The following is a 21,750-nucleotide window of genomic DNA, read 5'->3' as shown; positions in this document are numbered from 1 at the left end:
AGCGGCTCCTCTGGAGACCCCCACACTCAGCCCTTGGAAGCTGGAATGGAAATGCAGCTGCTGCATCACACAGAAAAGTCAGAAAAGGGCAGGTTGCCCTGCCCAGGCTGAGAAACCATAGACTTGGTTCTACCTCAAGTAGAGGGGTCAGGGTCTGTAATCCTCACCACAAAGATGACTCAAACTCATAAAAGCAAACACTAAAAGCTATTGAGCAACTACAATGGGCCAGACACTGTGCTGTGCACGCTGTATGTTATACTTCATAATAGTGAGGTGGGTAATACCAGTATTCCTGTTTTACAAGGGAAGACAGAGGCTCAGAGAGGATGAAATAGGGACCTAGTCCCACGTGTTTAGTAAGTGGCAGAGCCAGGACTTGAACATTGGTTTATTCTGATGGAGGAGACCATGCTCTTATCCATCACCTTAAACCACCTCTCAAGTGAGTGGCAATGAACAGCTGGTCCAACAGATCATACAACACTCTGGCTGGCTCAGCCCTTAGCAGGCATACTTCCAAGCACCTACTTGGTGTAAAGCACACCTGCTGAGTGAAATGTAGACAGCACAGCAGTGCTGTGTTTAACAGATGGAGATGGTGATCTTTACCTTCCGAGTACACAACCCCTGTTCTCCCATTTGTACTTTCCCATCTTTTCTTCCCCCACCTTTTTTCCCTTTCCCAAAGTCATGGTCAGATACACTCTGATGACTCATGATCTGAGGAACAAAGCAAGAATTTTAATCAGTTGCCCCTATGTCTTCCCCTCTTTGAGTCTTTCTCTACATGTCTAGGTAGATACAGGGAATATATTTACGTGCTTCTCAAAAAACGGTATTCAGTAAAAATTCTCTCTGCCACCCACGCTCCCACCTACCCTGTTCCTACTCCCAAGCCCTACCTATTAGTATTTTCTTGTGATTCTTTCCAAATTTCATGCATATAAAAGACACTGCAAATATGTTATCTCCTCTCACTCCTTCCCATTTTATTGGCACTTTTTTCATGTGAATATTCAGGGGGGCATCTTCATTCTCTTTTATAGCTACATAGAGTTACAGTGTATGGATTTACCATAATGTATTAATATTTAATCTTTCCCATATTACCAAACATTCAGATGGTCTCCAAGCTTTTGTTATTCATAAGTTGATACTTTGAACTCCTTAAATATATACCTCAATTGGCTAGAGCTCAGAGAGGAGAAAGATAGATAGACATCCAAAATTCCAACGCTATCCACCACTAAAAGCTCTCAGAGTAAAAAAGCAAAACATTCAGCAAAAGCCCCTGTGTGAAAAGATCTTACTGTGCCAGGAGACTGCCATATCTACCTTTTTCCAAAGACCCCATTTCTCCTCAGCCCAGAAAAAAAAGTGACATCTTGAACTAGGTAACCCCATACATAGAGCATTAGTGCTTAATGTCTTATAGTTTTCATAAAAGTAGTAAACCTCTCCAATTTTTTTATTATAACTTCAGTTGGTTTGTTAAGATGATATAAAATTCAACCCAGCATAGCCTACCAACCCATGAGGGGGCCAAGCAGGGAGGCCTTTGCTTCTTTGGCTGGGCCCATTAGGAGCCAAGCAATAGCCCACTCTACCAAGACATTTGCTCCCCTGGCTCTGCCCCATCCAAGCCAGAAATGCTTGCCTGAAGTTGTGAAAATGTCCTGTTGGTGCTAGATATGTCACCAAGAGGTGATATTTCTTCTTCTACCTCTTTAAGGTTTTTACTAAAAACTGCTATGCCAAGCAGCCACGCCTTAGAATGGGACTAGCACTGAACAAAATGAGAATTAAGAAACTTTGAACACCCTTGACATCCTTTCCTTCCCTAAACTCAATTGCTGCATTCTCAAGCTCTTCCTTCCTCCCATTCTCCCTGTAATTGATGCTATGGGGTGCATTATGCTCATGCACATGGAAGGCCAGAAAATTCAGGACTGATATTCCTGGGAACATTCTTTTTTTTTTTTTTTTTTTTTGGAGACGGAGTCTCACTCTGTCACCAGGCAGAGTGCAGTGGCATAATCTCGGCTCACTGCAACCTCTGACTCCCTGGTTCAAGCGATTCTCTTGCCTTGGCCTCCCGAGTAGCTGGGATTACAGGCACACGCCACCATGCCAAGCTAATTTTTGTATTTTTAGTAGAGACGGGGTTTCACCATGTTCGCCAGGATGGTCTCAATCTTCTGACCTTGTAATCTGCCCACCTCGGCCCCCCAAAGTGCTGCGATTACAGGCGTGAGCCACCACACCCAGCCCCTGAGAACATTCTTAACCAGTGACTAAGGAAGTTGCTGTATAAATATTGCAAGTCCTTTTCCTCTTGTGTGGGAGAACTCTTGGGTGCATGTTCCATGCTGGTTCTGGGAGTCCCCTGGTAGGATTTAGCTTCAGTCACCCACATGGGTAATTTTCTTGACAATTCATCTTTTATTGGCTACTTTCCCTTGCCCACCTAACTTCCTTACTTGTGTAACAGTAACCTTCCAAATAAATTACTTGCATTTGTATCCTTGTCTCAGGGTCTGCTCCTGAGTGAATTCAAACTAAGAGGCTCTACTTCGCCCCTATTAAATGCTCTCTGGGTGGACTCTAATGGGCTCATTCTTATTAAAGTGTAAACAGCTCCTAAGGATCAGGGGAGTGAGTTTCAAAGTGGAAATATACTTAAGGCAGTAGTTCTAAAGCAGTGGGCTGGACACACGGGAGTTCTTGATGCGCTTGCTGCCAAGTTTTGATCTAACGGTAAAATCTATTTTTGCAACAACTGATCGTACTTATTGTTATTCACTGTCAGACAGAGTTGTGAACCGAGAATACCCTTGGGGACAGAGTAAATTGGGGTACCATTTGTAGCACATATGAGTAAAGAAGCCCAGCATTATGTCAAGCCACGGAATGATGATGTGTTCTTTTGAGAGGACACAACAGGCTTCCAGGTCAGGATGGTAAATTGTTCTGCTCTAATAGTGATGGTGGTGGTCGTAGTGGGGATGATGGTGGTGGTGGTAGTGGGGATGATGGAGTCATTCTTTGACATGGAGTCAAAGAATTGCCACATAACTAACGGGATAATCATGGGTGATGTACAGACACTTTGAGACATCATAGAACTGTAAAAGTGACTGTGTTGTCATTATGGTGGACTTGTTGAGTATGGATGAGTCTCTTCATCCCTTTAATCTGAGAAGTGTGCCAAAACACACATACAAAATCTTTAATTGTGGCTTTCAGATCACAGCCAGTGAGAGGGATCTGGAAGAAAGAGAAGACAAGGAAACATTTTTGGAGACTTTGAAATCATATACCACCACCACCATCATCATCCCCACTACCACCACCACCATCATGCTCACTACCACCAACAGTAAAAGACTTGGTTCCAAATAAGGAATGTTTAAACTGACTGTGATATTCAGTTCTCAGGTTTACCTGTTGATTTTCTTTGAAGAAAATCCCATCACTAAATGTACAGTTTGAAAACCATAGATATGCCTGATAATTTTATTCTTAAAACTACCATTAACTTGCAGGTGAGGAAAGTAAAGTTGAGAGAAATTAAATGACATGCCTGAAGCCACAGACTAGACGTGAGCTAAACTAGTACACAGCTGTGGTCCAAAACCTCACCATGTCTAGTGCTCTTTCTTCTACATTATTCTACATTTGCGTATTGATGATGAAACACATGGTTTAGTAATTTCTTGGCGTTGATGCTTGTTTTGGTGAGAATAGGTCAGAAAACAGTTTATAGAAAGTTCTTAGAATTTAGGCTGCTCCAAGAAACTCACCAAAACAACTCCAAGTCTTTCCCTCCCTGAGCCATACTTAACACTTGTTATTCCAGGAGCTGCTTCGATGAGACATATTCTCACAGCTTATCTAATTTGTCTACACTCTCCATACACTTTGCTGAATGCCCTCAAATTTCACCTGTATCCGTCTACTATTGCTGCAATACTGCTGCAAAATAAAAACTTTGTGACTGAGGAAAATAAGCCTTTCTTTTTCTCACTTACAGATCTGCAGGTTGACTAGGGCAATTCTGCCTTAGTTCAGGTTTGTGTCTGTTCCATGTGACTAATTCTGGAGCACAGGGAGAAAGGGCAGTGGCTACCCAAGTTATGCTCTTCTGTTGGCTGTCAGAATAGCAGAAGGCCAAGCCAAACAGTGCAAGCATTATTTAAAGCCTCTGATAGAGTCATATCTGATCACATTCCATTGACCAGAACAAGTCAATGCCCAAGCCCAGAGTCAGTGACTCAGGAAGTGTACTGTGTCCCAAGGTGGAAGGGAAATGAGTGAAGATTTACTGAACAATACCTCAATCTATCACATCAGCTAAAATTGTGATTCCCACGAAGGGAGGTCAAGCAGGTCTTTCCAAAGTCCTCTAAATCTAAAATGCAATACTATTAATCAAGTTAGTCCCATAAGCTGCGAGGAGGAGACCATCCCAAAGTGACCTTTCCTGAGACACCCAGGGGGAATGTGTAATGGCACTCTTCCAGGCTAGAGACAGCAAGGTAGAAATTATCTAGTGGAGACCATGGCATTTCAAAAATCAACTACTTCACTTCTAAAAACCTGCCTCAAACCAAACTTTCAAATCCCCTTTCTTTGAGGATTGGGGCCTGAAGATAGAGAGAAAGAGCAGATGTGGACGACTTATATTCTCCATCCTCAATAATCAATTTCTAGCAATGGAAGTCTTGGCAAAGACACAGAATGGCACAGCAGCTATAAACAGGCTACTGAGTTTCACAATTGCATGTTTGAGTCTCTACCAATGCTGGATACATTGGTTCTTCCTTTCAACTCTACAACATCCATTTCCCCTCTTTCTTCCTAATAAAATCCCAATTTTTCTCAGGAAATGTTCCCCCTCAGGGGACAATGACCCACCTCCAGCACAAACCCCAGGGACAGACTGAGAGGGAATTCCATTCACCTTGCCAATGATTGGTTCCCAAGTAGGTAAGTGACCTAGATTGGGCCAGTGAGACATACAGTGTGCCTGTGGGGGAAAGTTTGCTGGAAAAAAGAAAGAGATTTCAAGAAAAATTTCATCATTCCAAGGAGAAAACTCTAGGAATAAACTGTCCCTCTCTTCTTCCCCTGGACGTAGCAAAGGGAAATGTGGGGAGTACTTTTATTTTTTCAACATTACACAATTATTACATGTTCTTTTTTAGCACTGTGAGAAAATAGAGATAAGCAATACAAGAAAAGGAAGAAGAAGTTCACACCTGATCCCATCGCCCACAGAAATCACTGCGAACATTTGTGCGTATTCTTTCAGATTTTTTTGTTGGTGGCTGCTTTCAGAAGGAAAGGAAAGGGGAAAAACTGGTATCCTCATGCACTACTTCTGGGAGGGTGCATTGGCTTGGCCTTCTGCTATTCTAGATGTCATTGCTAGTGCCCTATTTCTGCCTGAGGATGTAGGCAACAGGAAGATGGCAGAGCAGAGAGGTGGAAAGAAGAGGCACCCTGAGGACATTGCTGAGCTGCTGAATCAACCTCCCCTGAAGCTTGCCCTATGTCCTCATTTTTAAATGAGATAATAAAATATCCTTGTTGATGACTCTTGACTTGAAGTTGAAAGCGTCTTAACAGTATCTACCTCTGCCACTTCCTAGCAGTCTGCCTTTGAGTAAGCTGCTTAATTTCCTTAACTTCATTTTTGCGCCAGTACCTCTGTCATGGAATTGTGAGGAGTGAATGACAAGGCATATGAAGCATTTGCAAACTTGTTGTGTCTAGTAGCTGGGAAGGGGGAAATATCTCACAGCATGATTTTATTACAGGGCTTTTTGGTGCCTTCTAGCAAGAAAGTACAGTTCTGGGGAAATAACTGCAGTTTCTGCACTTCCTTCATGTTTAGATTTGTCGCCCCCTGGCCGTTTCTTCTAGAAATTTACAACAAAAACCATCACAATGGGAAGGGCTCCTGTCCTTTTTAGGGTGTGGCAATCAGGGTCTTTTGTAGTCATCACTACCAACCCTGTGAATGGGTAGGAGCCTCAAGGAGAAGAGATGTGGGGGGTGCTTTTATTTTTTAAACATTATACAACTATTACATGTTCTTTTTTTTAGCACTATGAGAAAATAGAGATAAACAATACAGGAAAAGGAAGAGGAAGTTGACACCTGATCCCATTACCCAATGAAATCACTATGAACACTTGTGTGTATTCTTTCAGACTTTTTTGGTGGTGGTTGCTATGAAAAGGAAAAGGAAACAGGAAAAAACTGGTATCCTCATGCACTGCTTCTTGGAGGGTGCATTGGTAAAGCCTTTATTAGAAGGCAACTTTGCAAGATCATTAAAAAATAATAATAATGCACCTCCCCTTTCACTCAGCAATTCCGCTTCTAGAAATCCATCCCCTGGAAGCAACAACGAAGGTAGTAGGTACATAGATTCAAAGTGCCAGCACCCACTACTCACAAAGCAAAGACTTGGGACCAACCCAAATGTCCATCAATGACAGACTGGATTAAGAAAATGTGGCATATATACACCATGAAATACTATGCAGCCATAAAAAAGGATGAGTTCATGTCCTTTGCAGGGACATAGATGAAGCCGGAAACCATCATGCTCAGCAAACTATCACAAGGACAGAAAACCAAACACCACATGTGGGTTTTGAACAATAGGTGGGAATTGAACAATGAGATCACTTGGACACAGGGCAGGGAACATCACACACCAGGATGGGGGGCTGGGGGAGGGATAGGAGAAATACCTAATGTAAATGATGAGTTGATGGGTGCAGCAAAGCAACATGGCACATGTATACCTATGTATCAAACCTGCGCGTTGTGCACATGTACCCTAGAACTTAAAGTGTAATAATTAAAAAAAGAAAATATGGTACATATACATAATGGAGTACTATTCAGCCATAAAAAAGAATGAGATCCTGTCATTTGAAAGGAGATTCCTGGCTAAGTGACATAAGCTAGGCCCAAAAAGACAAAGTGCCAGCACCTTTATACACATCTTATGTAATTCAGTCAGTCCTCACAGCAACCTTACTTTACTTAATAACAGCTTTATTGAAATATAATTCATATACTAACTCAGTCCATTTAAACTGCTATAACAAAACGCCATAAACTGAATGGCTTATCAACAACAGAAATTTGTTTCTTACAGTTTTGGAGGCTGGGAAGTCCTAGATCAAAGCACCGGCAGATTCAGTGTCTATTGAGGGCCCACTTTCTGGTTTATAGACGGTGCCTTCTTGCTGTATCCTCACGATGGAAGGGGTGAAGGGTCTCTCTCCAGCCTTTTCAGTAATGGCAAAAATCTCATTCAGGAGGGCCCCACCCTTATGACCTAATCACTTCCAAAACGTCATCACATTAGTAATTCGGTTTCAAAAGATGAATTTCAGGGGGACGTAAATATTCAGACCATAGAACCTACCATACAATTCAACCATTTAAAGTATACAATTCAATGGCTTTTAGTATATTCACAGATAGGTACAACCATCACCACAGCAAATTTTAGAACACTTTTATCACCCCAAAAAGGAAACTTCATACCCATTAACAGTCACTCTCCATTTCCTCCCTTCCCACTCAACCCCAGCCCCTAAAAACCACTTATCTACTTTCTGTCATTATACATTTGGCAATTCTGGACCTTTCATATAAATGGAATCATATAATATGTAGCTTTTTATGACTGACTTCTTGCACTTAGCATAGTGTTTCAAAGGTCATCCATGTTGGATCCTGTATCAGTACTTCATATCTTTTTAATGTGACATAATATTCCTGTGTGTGAATATGCCAAATTTTATTTATCTCTTCATTAGTTGATGAACAGTTGGGTTGTTTCCACCTTTTGGCTATTATGAATAATGCTGCTATGAACATTTCTAAACGAATTTTTGTGGCAACATGTGTTTTTATTTCTCTTGAGTATATACCTATGAGTGGAATTGCTGGGTTAAATTGTAACTCTGTGTTAACCTTTTGGGGAATGCACAGACTGTTTGCAAAGCAGCTGCATCATTTTATATTCCCACCAGCAGCACATGAGGATTCCAATTTCTCCACATCTTCTCCCACACTTGTCATCTATTTTTAAAAATTATATCCATCCCAGTGAGTGTAAAGTGCGTCTCATCATGGTTTTCATTTGCTTTTCCCTGATGGCTAGAGGGAGATTATTACCATGACTTTCAATGTACAGATGAGGAAACTGAGGCACAGAGAGGGTAATTAATTTATATATCATGGCTTAGTAAGTGTCCAAAATTGTGTGTGTACAACAGTACATGCAGAAGGAAGTTCGCTGCAACACTATTTGTGAAAACAAAAATTATAACTGTATGTTTACTAGCAGGGGTTTATCCCTGCAGAGAACCATTATGCAACTATCAAAGAATGAGGAAGGACCATTCATGCTGACACAGAATGAGCTCCAAGACATGTTGTTAGTGAAAAAAGCCAGCCACAGAATCATATGTACAGCACAAACCTGTTTGTATTAATACATATATGGATTGGAAGGCTCCTCACCAAACTGTTCACAATATCCCCTAAAATAAAAGCTCCATGAGAGCAGGGATTTTTGCCATTTGGTATATGGTGAATGGCTGTATTGCCAACCTTCAAACAGCATAGAATAACAGCTGAATCTGTTGTTAAATGAACAATTCCTTGAGACAGAGGAATGAAAGGCAGGAACATATGTAGATGAACCCATTTTATTCTGCAGATCCATGTCCTCTACACATGAATTCATGTAGTAGTTATATTATTTTTGACACAGAAAAAAATAATGAGGAATTCTTGAGGCCTTTAGCAAGAAAAAGATGAGGTCCCCAGAGAGTTGGTATATAACTGAGGAATGGCCTCAGTCTCTTCTGAGGATGCTGCGAGGACCCTCCTGGGCCACAGTGTCCCTCATTTCAAGTGAGTGCAGCTCTCACCCAACTGAGCTCCACCTCTTAGGGTTGAATTGGGGTTGATTAGCTGGTGGGGCAGACACAGGCCTGCTCCTGCCCTGCTGGACATCCCACCCTGATCAATAAGCCACTCTTTCAGTTAACAGAAATCCAATGTTGGGTTGCTAGCAGTGAATCTTGTTTTCATGCCTGAGAAGATCTTAAAAATCAATAAGGATTAGAGGGACATGACCATGTATTGTTCGTTCTATTGTTTTTTCAATATTTGTTTAATTTTTCATTCCAGTTAAGCCCTCTGAAGAGGCCCAAGGATCAAGGGCTTCTTGTGAAACACAGACAGGTGCATACGTCACATCACTCAAGGCTAATGGCAGGTTAGTGAGTTGAGAGACAATTAGGGAAGGGACCAGGAGCTGTGGTTTGACTCTGTTTTTCCAGTCAAGTCAGGATAAAGGAATGATCTCTATTTTATAACAGGTGCAGATTAAAAAATTCAAACAGTGAAAATGGCAAGTTGCACCAAAAGTGAGGATTAGTGGAAGCCAGGAAAGAGATATGTAGGTTGGGTGGACAACAGTCTGCTCCTCACAGTTGAAGGGGATGTTATGGTTCTGATAATGTCTTCTCGATTTTTTTATGAGCAAGGTATCTCCACATTCTCTTACTCTAGCCCTTTTCTCCTGCCAAGAAGGCACAGAGCTAGGTGTTCAGTGGGGTATGGATTGGGCATTGTCTTTGACTTCCCTGACACAACTGTTCAAGTACCAAGTCCTATAGATTTCACTCCAAAATAACTTTCTATTACATCTATTTCTCTCCATCACCACTGTTATTGTTTTAGTTCAAGTCACCATCACCTTGAGTCTGGATGTGTACGGTTGCTTCCTAAGCTGTCTTCCTGTCTTGAGGAAGAGTCCTGCTTCCCTCCACTTCCTTCTCCACACAGAGAGACTAAACTCAAGAGGCAGTGTTGCCTTGCGATTAGGGCAGCGTGGGCTCTGGAGCCAGGATGCCTGGGCTCGAATCCTGACTCTTCCAGATATGTGACCTTGAGCAGGTGACTTCACTCTTCTGTGCCTTGGCTGGCTTCTCTCATAAATAGAGGTGCTAATCTGCACATCCTTGATAAAGTCATGGTGAGGATTAGGCGAACTCATATAGATGAAGTGCTTAAAACAGGGGCTGCCAGATCCTAGCAACTGCACACACGTGAGCCAGCATCTTTCTTTTTTATTTTTATTTTTATTTTGAGACAGAGTCTCGCTCCGTCACCCAGGCTAGAGTGCAGTGCACTGCAACCTCCACCTAACTGCAAGCTCCACCTCCCAGGCTCAAGCGATTCTCGTGCCTCAGCCTCCCGAGTAGCTGGGATTACAGGTGCCCGCCACCATGCCCAGCTAATTTTTTGTATGTTTAGTAGAGATGGGTTTTCGCCATGTTGCCTAGGCTGGTCTCGAACTCCTGAGCTCAGGTGATCTGCCTGCCTTGGCCTCCCAAAGTGCTGGGATAACAGGTGTGAGCCCCCGCACCCAGCTGAGCCAGCATCTTTCTGAAATGAAGCCCCCCTAGTTATGCTGTGGTTGGGACAGAGTCCAAACTTATAAGACTCTATAGGACCTGCCTACCTTTCTCTTCCCATCTCTTGGTGACTCTGCTTCACATTTGACACTCACGTTAAATGTCTTTTTGTTCCTCTAGCAAGACAGGCCAGCAGGCCTACACACAGGCTGTTCCCTCTCTGCCTAGTACATTCTCCCCAAAATTCTTCCCCATCCCCGCTTCAAGGATCACTCTTCCTCAGGTCTTAGATGCTGTTTTCTTTAGAAGCATCCCTCATGCATCAAATTCTGATTAGAGGCCATTCATTGTGTTCCTGTGGTACCCTTACCTCCCATCAATGCGCTTGCTACTTTGTATTTTCCAGTTTTTACTACAAAATATTTCACACAGAAAAGCCAAAAGCACAGTGCAATAACAGTACAGTAAACTCCCATATACTCCCAACAATTGGTAACGTTTTGCCATATTTGCACATTCTCTTTCTGTCTCTCCTTCTCTCCCTCTGTATTTATTTGTTTCCAAGTAAATTACAGACATCATGATATTTCACTCCTAAATATTCCAGCTTGCATCTCCCCAAAAGAAAAAAAGATGAGGGGGTATTCTCCCACCTAAAACACAATAATTTCATCACACCTTAAAAAATTAATAATTCTCTAATATCACTGAATGCTTGGTCTACATTCAAATTTTCCCAGTCATTTTCCAATTCTCTCTTAGGGTCTTCCTGCTCCATTGCATTTGAATTGCTCTTTCATTGGCCCAAGGGCTCTGTAAGGAATGGAAGGTGTCCCCTCTGCTCTCCTCTCCCAGCACGCAGCTCAGGGCAGCCCCTCCGTATGTTTATTAAAAGAAAGGACAACACCCCGACCCCCCATGCCCCACTTCCTCCAGCTGGGAAGGGTCCTCGGCCCCCTACACACACACTGACCCATCATGGCATAGCATCCCTTCTGTAGTTCAAGTCAGAAACCTGAAAGACATTCTAGACCAACCCCTCCCTCAGGTGGCTGCCACTCTCTCCAGCTTAACCCCTCCCCATTCCCATGATCTCAGCCAGGGCTTCGGTTCTGCCCTTCATCTTCCCTCACCCCTCTCCCTGAGCCTTGACGCCTCTGATGCTCAAGTGTGTCCCCGTCCTGCCTCAGAGTTCCCTCTAAAAGACAAACCCACTCTGGTCACAACTCTGCTTCAGACCCTTCTGTGGCCCTCCCAGGGCCCAACCTGCCTACCAAGTTCCAATTTGGAAGCTCCTCCACCTTCTTCCTCCTCCCTCTTCTGACCCCTGCCCTCCCTTGACCCCGGCCTGTGCTTGAGCAGTTCAAAACCATCCATAGATCTCCAAGCACACCATGCTTTTCCATGCCTCCATGCCCTCTCCCTGAATCGCCCGCTTCCAGTGCTTTACCTTTCTCTGAGAACTGGAGAGAAGCTCAGACATCATTTTTCCCAGGGCCCATTCAATGACCTGCCCTTTCCTGGCAGAGAGCCCACAAAAGTCTTGGGCACAATAAATGTTTGTTAAATAATTGCTGAGTGGGTGAACAGAAATATCATCCTCCCCTTCCTCACTGGACGGAGACAGCTGCAGCTCCAGCCCATCCCAGGCCTGTGCCCTGGGCCCCAACTTCAGCCCGGCCCAGCCCAGCCCAGCTCTGCACGGCTGCCAGATGAACCTGACACAGCCTTGGCAGGCAGCCTCTGAACCACTGCCAGGCCCATATGTAGCTTTCCCTTTCCTAAGGAAGAATGGGCAATGACAGGCTTGGGCTTCTTTATTTGTAAAGAAAATAATTAAAAATCTAAACAAAAAAGAGGATTTTTTTTTTCTTTTAAATAGCTTCATATTCGGAAGTCATCTTTAGGTTAAGTACCTCCTGGGAGCTAGAAGGTGAGATGATATGGCCCCTTCTGCCTTGAATAAAATTCTCAGAATGCAATATTGCTGATATAGTTTGAATGTTTGTCTCCTCTAAATCTCATGTTGAAATGAGATTGCCAGCATTGGAGGTGGGGTCTAGTGGGACATGTTTGGGTCACGGGGGCAGATCTTTCATGAATGACTTGGTGCTGCCCTGGTGATAATGGAGTGAGTTCTTACCCTGTAAGTTCACAAGAAAGCTGGTCATTTAAAAAGAGCCTGGCACTCTCTTGCACCCTTTCTCACCGTGTGACATGCTCCCCCCTCACCTTCTGCCATGAGTAAAACTCCCTGAGGCCTCACCAAAAGCTGAGCAGATGCAAGTGCCATGCTTGTACAGCCTGCAGAAACGTGAGCCAAATAAACCTCTTTTCTTTAAAAATTACCCAGTCTCAGGTATTCCTTTACAGCAACACAAAACAGACTAACAGAATTGCTTTTATGCATTTCTACAAAAAAAAAAGATATTTCACTTGTACTTCATTATTCTGCTGATTAAATTATAGTGGGGCAGGGATGGAGGACTTTCAAGCAGTCAAAGACTTTCCTGGGTACACAGAGCTCATCTCACAACATACTTAAGAAAGCTCCTGATGCACCTGTCACTCCTGTTGCCAGCCCCTGCATCACAAGTGGTGCAAGCAGCGATGAAGTGTTTGTCGTTGTTGTTGTTGTTGTTGTTTACCTTTATAGTTTTCTGCTAAGAAGAAAACATTTTAGCAGCACAGACCAAACTCCAGTAGGTAAAAGCTCTAAGAAGCCTGGATGATGAAGGCCCAGAGAAGTAAATAATGAAGTGGGTTAAAGCTTGAATCTCTACTCCCCTCCCCGCCACTCGCTGAATAATCTCTTTTGGGTGAATTCGTTAACCTTTCTGAGCTCCAGATTCCTCTTCCATATGCAGAAGAACTCCTAGGGTTCTTTATGAAAACTAAATGAGATGCTATTTGTGTAGCAGGATGTAAAAATGACTATGGTCTCAGTTCAGGTATTGCCAAGGACAAAAGACATGTTTCAAAGTGAGCTGTGACACTGAGGCCATCATGCAGGGCTGACAAAAGAAGTGGCACGAAACTGGTTTCCCTCTTAACTGACCATCTTCAGCCCACAAAGAAAGCTGGGTGAGAAGAACAGTTGGTGGTGTAGAGGAGGAATTTTGGAGAAAGCAATAGGAGCACTCCAAGTCCCAATTGCCCACTACCCACCCTCCAAGATTGGCCTCCAAGATGCTGTGTCCCTGGAGGTTGACTGTCACTGAGGGCTGATGTCTGAATCATGTCTGTGAATCCCAAAATACAAGAGAGATGGAGTGATCAGCTGGAGTGGAGAGAACGTGGTAGCTTTGGATTTCCTGGGATAATGAAACGAGCATTTTCCATAAGCCAGAGATGTACTGTGGCCAACCTCTGGGATGTGTAGGTCCTTCTGACAAGGACCACCAGGAGGAATGGAAATTTACCTTCAGAGAAAAGCTGACAGCACTTGTTGTGGCCTCAACTATCCTCCCAAAATTTATATGATGAAGCCCTAACCCCCAGGACCTTAGAATGTGACTGCATTTAGAAGCAGGACCTTTAAAAATGTGATTAAGTTAAAATGAACCCCTTAGGGTAGGCCTTAATCCTCTCTGACTGCTGTCCTTATAAGAAGAGGACATTTGCACATGCCAAGAGACACCAGGAATGCACACACAGAGGAAAGACCATGTGAGAACTCAGTGAGAAGGTGGCCATCCACAAGCCAAGGACAGAGACCTCAGGAGAAAACAAACCTTCCAACACCTTGATCTTGGACTTTTAACCTCCAGAACTGGGAGAAAATTAAGTTCTGTTGTTTAAGCCCGGGGCCCCCAACTCCCGGGCCATGGACCAGTACTGGTCTGTGGTCTGTTAGGAACCAGGCCACACAGCAGGGACAGAGAGAGCACGAAGCTTCATCCATATTTACAGCTGCTCCCAATCATTCACATTACCACCTGAGCTCCACCTCCTGTCAGATCAGCAGCAGCATTAGATTCTCATAGGAGCACAAACCCTATTGTGAACTGCGCATGTGAGGGGTCTAGTTTGCATGCTCCTTATGAGAATCTAATGCCTGATGATCTGTCACTGGTTCCCATCACCCCCATATGGGACTGTCTAATTGGAGGAAAACAAGTTTAGGGCTCCCACTGATTCTACACTGTGGTGAATTGTGTAATTATTTCATTATATATTACAATGTAATAATAATATAAATAAGGTTCTCAATAAATGTAATGCACTTGAATCATCCTGAAACCATCCCTACCCTGGTCTGTGGAAAAAAGTGTCATCTACAAAACTGGTCTCTGGTACCAAAAAAATTGGGGACTGCTGGTTTAAGCCCCTCAGTCTGTGATATTTTGTCATGGCAGTCCCAGCAAACTAATACGGCACTGCTTAGATGCCAGGGAACTAAGGAAGGAGTCTTATTAGGCAACCAGCTTCAAGGGACCAGCAACTCAGAGATCCCCAAAGATGAGAAATAATGGTGCTCTCTGAAGTATCCACAAGATTGTGCCTAGAGAGAAAGAACTAGGTTTACACACCCACCAGAACCTGCCACTGAAATGCCAGCTTGCCACAGCATTAACCAAGTACGGACTTCCAGCTCCTTTCCTGCCTCTTCTCTTTTCCCCTTCCCCCTGCCAGGAGTCAGAATCATCAGTAAGCCAGAGGAGAGAAGGATGGAAGCTTAACGTGGGAAATGAGAAGCCAACCACAGACCCCCTTTCCAAGCTGCAGGCCCCACTGGAGGAGGGAGAAAAGTCTCCACTGGGAACCAAATTCAAAGATCTGGCTGATTCCCTGGGACTGGACATCCCAATTGCTGAATGAGGCTGTGCTGGAACTAAAAGCGACTTAAGAACTTTTGATTCCTGAAGGGGGCCCATAAGAGTTGTGGACCTACCTTAATTTTCATCCCAGGGCAAGGGAAGAGGGAGGACCTGCTGAAAAAAATTAGGGACAATGATAGGCAAAAATAAAGTTTGCTTCCATAATATACCATGAGTCCTGTGTATTTGACGTATGTTCTCTTACATATGAGGCAACTTAGCCTGGTCTCTGGCCAAAAAAGAGATACCACTCATTGAGCAATTCTTACCCTTTCAAATTCCTTCACTGTCGTCATTGAGCAATTCCATCTTCTTCAAGCAAGACAAAAGCTGATGCCAATAGAAAAATCATTTAAAATAAACAAACGAAAAAATTCCTTAAGCTGTCAACTTGGGTGCAGATGTTCTATGAAGCCAGAAACTGAATGTCACCCTCTATACACCATGACCTAGAGAAGCAGAATAACTCCAGACCAGCAGGGCTGGGCGGGTCTAAGATTCCCATACTACTTAAGAGAAAACTGAATTCAAATCCAGGCTCTGCCATTTAACAACTGTGTGACCCCGGGTGAATGACTTAAATTATCCGTACTTCAATTTCCTCATCCATAAAATAGAGATCATAAAGTATCTATCTGATGAAATAGCTGCAAAACAGTTAGAATGCTGCCTGGCACAGGGCAAAGGACTCACAATACACATAGCTATCATCATATATCATTGCCTCTCAAAGTGAAATATTGTGATGACCTTGGTTTATTAGCAGGATGTTGTAAAAAAAAATGCTTTACAAGGGGCATGATGACGAAAAGCGCAGATTCTAGAACCCGACTCCCTGGGTTTGAAAGAAGCAAGAATCTGAGGCATGTTGTATAAGGGTTTGCTATCATTACTATTCATTCAATGAGAGACATACAGTAATAGGTATACATATGCAATACATAGAGAAAGAGCTTAGTACTAGCAGCTATTATTAAGGCAACAGCCACCTCAGTAAATCTACATGGGCCATGAAGACCCTGGTCACCCAGAGATATCAGAGGCACTGAACAGGGCCAGACAGACAGAGGGTATTTTTCTAACTGGGAGGCTGCTGAACTTGACCTCTGTTGCTTTTCATTATTTATTTAACAGCAGATGGTGGCTTTCAAGAAAATCGGATGTCTTGAAGCCAGAAACCCATCCTCCTTGGGCTGGATACTCAGCCATCCCCTGCAACCCCACCCCCTAGCCCCAAGCTCTCATTGTCTCTCTTGTGTTACCTGGTCTGGTTTCTTCTTCCAGGGCAGGTCCCACCTTGCTGGGGAGAGGTGAATGACCATGGCCTTCCAGCCTCCCGAGAAGGGGATGTTCCAACGGGCGCAGAGATCTCTGGGCCTGGCTTGCCACTCACTGACCTGGGGCCTGAAGACTGACAGAGAAGCAGGCAGAAAATATAAAAAGCTGATACCCCCTGCAGGAAATCATTGTTTAGCCCATTCCAGACTAAAAAAACAAGTGCAACATTGGAGAAAGGAGGGTAAAGTGTCATTCGGGGCCATTGTTACAGCGGCTGCTCTGTGTGGTGGGGAAACAAAGCAGGCCTGTGTATGTGAGGACAATGCTGTTGTGTTACTAGCTGCTTCTGTGTTACTCCTGGGGACAGGAGGATGAGAAACGAGGCCACAGTGTCTTCCCTGGTGGACTTCACTCATCATAGTAGCCAGGCCAATCAGAGCTGGGAGAGGAATTTTGGACATTTAGCCCATGGCATTATGTAATAAGGGTCAGGGGACGTGCCTTCAGGTGTGACCACCTGCCTCTTTGTTAGTCTTCTATACATGAGAGATCACAAATGTCCCTCTCCTTTTCTCTTACTTGCTTTCAGAAACTTACCCCAAGTTAGAGCTGAAAAGAATGAGACATATCATTTCTCTAAACACAAATGTCATCCACTTCAATGCCTAACTTTTGTGATGGGACATCTGGCTGGGACTAAACCTCAGCCATGCAGCACGTTAGCAGCAGTTGGCAAGACTAGATGAATATTATAAAGCTTGCACCCACTGAACCCCCATAATGAACCAGACACTAGGTCATGAGCAACCTTGCAAAATGACCTCATTCGCTCCTGACTTCAAATTCTGACTCTGCAACTATTACCCATGGACTGTGAGCAAGTGTTTTCTCTGGGTGTTAGTTTTCCCATCTGTAAACCGGGATTATGATTGGGTTCCTAGGAGGATTAAATGAATTAATATATGCAAAACTCTTAGAACAGTGGCTGGCCCATAAAAGTGATCAAGAACCACAAATCACAAATTAGATGCCCACATTACACCTGAAACTTGCTTGTACTCATGAGGAGATGGTATGGGGATGGCTGGAAAGCCAGGATCCCAAGTGTCTGTATTTAGCCCTGTTACCTACTATGGCCTAAGTTCACCCTGTTAGGTCCCTGAAGGAATTGGGCACTAATAAATATTCTCAAGTATGAGACAGGTGACAAATGTGTGGAGAGGGCCCACTGTGATGCAACAGTGTGTGGCGGGAACTGTGGGGATTTGAAAGCTCACACCAGTCTTCAGAGGGCAGCCAGGGCTCAGCCTCAGCCAAATACTGCAATGCAGAAAGGTGGAAACAGCATGGTTGGGCCTGCACATTTTTAAAGAAAAGCCAGAAGGCTGGATTTTTTATGTCGAGTTTTCCAATTTTGAAACACTGTGGACCAAACACAACATTGTTAATGCAATGTGAGCCCTAGATCATGCAGTTTGTGATGCCTGATCTGGAAATTTCCAGATTTCCAGCATTTCCAAGCCAGTGCAACCCTGCTGACACTCAGAGCTTTTGTCCCCAACTTGCGCTACGGTCTGAGTGTATGCGTCCCCCACAAATTCATATGCTGAAATCTTCACCCCCAGGTGATGGTATTTGGAGGTGGGACCTATGGGGGGTGATTAGGTCATGAGTGTGGAGCCCTCATGAATGGGATTAGTGCCCTTATAAAGAGGCCCAAGAGAGCTCCCTTGCCCACAGCCACCATTTGAGGACACAGTGAGAAGACACCATCTGTGAACCAGGAAACCGTCCTCATCAAACATAGAATCTGCCAATGCCTTGGTCTTGGACTTCCCAGCCTCCAGAACTATGAGCAACACATTTCTGTTGTTGATAAAGCCACCCAGTTTATGGTATTTTGTTATATTAGCCCATATGGACTAAGACGACTGGTGAGCTGATCAGGCCACGTCAAAGCCACAAAGGGGGCATAAAGTCAAAAAGATTGATCAGCCCTTTCCCCCTGCAACCCACCCTCATCTCTGGACTGAGACAAAGGTGAGGAAAAGGGAAACTAGGGGAATAACAGGAGGGTGGCAAGGGCTCTCCTTAAAGGACTGCAGGACCCTGGGCCTAATCCACCTCCTGCAGGCATTCCTCTGACAAAGAAGGCAGCCAGGACTTAGTAGTGAAACCAAAGGGGAGAATAGGAGTTTATTTAAGCTTCCATAACCTTCATCAGTTACCTCAAATGAACCAAAGTAGCGTAAGTGACAAAATGTGTTTGCTATGCAAATGCACCTTAAAAACAAGACTGCTCACAATGAGATACCACTTCATACCCGCTAAGATTGCTATAATCAAAAAGACAGAACCAGTTACAAAATGTGTTTGATATACCAATGCAACTTCAAAACAAGACGGCTCACAATGAGATACTACTTCATACCCACTAGGATCACTATAATCAAAAAGGCAGAGCCAGATGCAGTGGCTCCCATCTGTAATCCCAGCTACTCAGAAGGCTGAGGCAGGAGGATCGTTTGAGGCCAGGAGTTTGAGACCAGCCTGAGCAACATAGCAAACATATGTTTTAGAGACAAAACATATTTTTTGTCTCTAAAACAAATAAAATCAAATTAGCTGGGTATGGTTGTGCATGCTTGTAGTCCCAGCTACTCAGGAGGCTGAAGTGGGAAGATCAGTTGAGCCCAGGAGTTTGAGGCTACAGTGAGCCATGATTACACCACTGTACTCCAGCCTGGGTAAAAGAGCAGAGACCCCCATCTCTCTGTCTCTTTTTTTTTTTAAACAAATGTTGGTGCAGATGTGGAGAAATTGAAACCCTTATACATTGCTTCTGGGGACTGTAAAATGGTGCAGTCACTTTGGAAAATGGTCTTACACTTCCTCAAAAGGTTAAACACAGAGTAATCATATGGCCCAGAAACTCCACTATTCCACTCTTCAGTGTATACTCCAAGAGAAATGAAACACATGTTCACACAAAAACTTTGTACATGATTGCTCATGGCAGCATTACTCACAACAGCTAAAAAGTAGAAACAACTCAAATGTCTACAACTGATGAATGAACAAACTATGGTATATCTGTACAAAAAAATATTATTCAGCAAAAAACGAATGAAGTACCGATACAGGCTATAACATGAACGAACCTTGAAGAAGTTTCTCCTCTTATGCTAAGTAGAGGAAACGAGTACAAAACATATGATATGTGGTCTTTTGTACTCGTTTCCTTTACTTAGTATAAGAGGAGAAACCGTATCATATGATCCAATTCATGGGAAATGTCCAGAAGGCAAAACCATAGAGACAGAAAGCAGATTAGCGATTGCCTAGGGCTGGGTGTGATGGGGAGAATTGGGGGCAGAGGTGGGTGTTGATAGCTAAAGGATATGCTGTTTCTTTTGGGGATGATGAACATGTTCTAAAATTAATTGTGGTGATAGTTGGACAACTCTGTGAGTATACTAAAATTCATCGAATTTTACACTTCAAATGGATAAATTGTATGGTATGTGAATGTTAATTCTATTTCAATAAAGCTACTATAAAAAAACCCTCAATACTAAGATTGCTGCCCTTAATCATTTTCTACTAATAAATTCTGTGTCCATATCCCTTGCTTCATATCTGCCCCACTGGAGAAATCAGGGCAAGTGTTCCAAAAGGCTGGTTTCCCCCAAGGCTCAGGGCTCAAACTTGGGTGACTAACTGGCCTGGTTTGTCCAGAACTGTCCCAGCGCTAGCCCTGAAAGTCCTGCATCCAAGGAAACCCCTCATCCCTGGGAAAACTGGGATGGCCAGTCCCCCTCGTGCAAACCCTTGCCCACAACAGGGGAAAGCTCTGCCCTTTAGCGTTGCCAATGACTAGAACTGAGAATCCACATAAGCAATCCTTCCCCTTTTGGGGTATAAGTCATCCTTGAGCTCCCCCTAATGGCCAAAAGGTATTTTTATTATTGTTCCCATTTTACGGATGATGAAATTGAGGTTCCAAGAGGGGAAGTAATTTGCTAACAGTACACAGGAGTTGGAAACTGAACCTAGGTCTTTTCCCAAAGCCCAAGGTAGCCCTTCCACTCACTCATTATATTGTTTCTCACCATCACCAGACTGATTGTACAGGAACACTCTTAGATTGTTCTTGCTGCCTGAGGAAGGTAGTCAGACATGCAAAGAGAAGAAACACAAATTTACAGCTGTGGGACAACAAGGAGACATGTACAGCTTGGCGGTTAACAGTGCAGAATCTGGAGCCAGACTGGCCATATTTGAATCTGGGCTTTGCCACTACTTAGCTGTGTGACCTCAGACTACTTAATCTGCCTATGTCTGTTTCTCCATATGTAAAATGGAAACAATACAGTGTGTGTGCTTATATATGTATATGTACTTATGTGTGTGTGTACATATGTGTGTGTATGTATATACATACGTATATATATAATATCATAGGATAGGAATGGGAAGTAAATTAATCAGTAAATGTAAGGGCTTAGAACAGAGCCGGGCACATAACAAGTTTATTAAATAAATGAAAGTCAGCACTGATTCCTATATTCAGAATTGGAAAGAAATTAGGTTTGGCCTAATGAAAACCAGGCAATGGGACCAAATCACAGAAATGAACTCCGACATTCTGTTTTGTTCCCACCCATGAAAATGTTTATGGTTTAGAAATTGCTGGACATTCTGCAGACCACAGACAAACCTTTACATGCAACATGGCATTGGCAATCTGGGCAGCCCTACCAAAATGGGATGACATGGTGCCATTCATATCATACCAGCCCGCGAGAGTAAGGAGAGCTGGGAATCCTCCCACTGAAGCAGCTCCTGTCGCTCAGCTCTGCTCTCTGAACTAGATGGGTGTGATGAACACCATTTTACAGAGGTGGAAACTGAGGCCCAGAGAAGTTCAAGAATTTGTACACGGAAAAGTTAATAATGTGTAGAATTAGGATTCCAACTCAGGTTGAATTCTAAAACCCCTATGCTTTGCTGCCACCATGCATTAGTTACTATTGCTGTATAACAAATTACTTCAAAGCTTCATAGCTTAAAACAACAAACATTGATAATCTTAATAGTGTTTGAAGGCCAGAAATCCAGGCGTGGCTTCGCTGGGTGGTGCTGGCTCAGAATCTCTCATGAGGTTGCAGTTAAGCTGTTGG

The 21,750-nt window shown here is 43.5% G+C and overlaps 1 protein-coding gene across 1 annotated transcript in view; it reads right to left on the bottom strand.

Moving 5' to 3' along the window:
* The window catches only part of PRR5L (proline rich 5 like), a 168,917-nt gene extending 152,215 nt beyond the window's left edge, over nt 1–16,702 (bottom strand). Inside the window, exon 1 of the mRNA NM_001160167.2 lies at nt 16,552–16,702. The gene's annotated coding sequence lies outside the window, so the exon portion shown is untranslated. The remainder of the gene's footprint in view (nt 1–16,551) is intronic.
* Nucleotides 16,703–21,750: the final 5,048 nt, after the last annotated feature.

Source organism: Homo sapiens, chromosome 11 (assembly GCF_000001405.40).
Source record: "Homo sapiens chromosome 11, GRCh38.p14 Primary Assembly".
In the NCBI taxonomy this organism is placed as follows: Eukaryota; Metazoa; Chordata; class Mammalia; order Primates; family Hominidae; genus Homo; species Homo sapiens.
The sequence above is the reverse complement of the archived record's forward strand: the minus strand, read 5'-3'. Positions and strand labels throughout refer to the sequence as shown.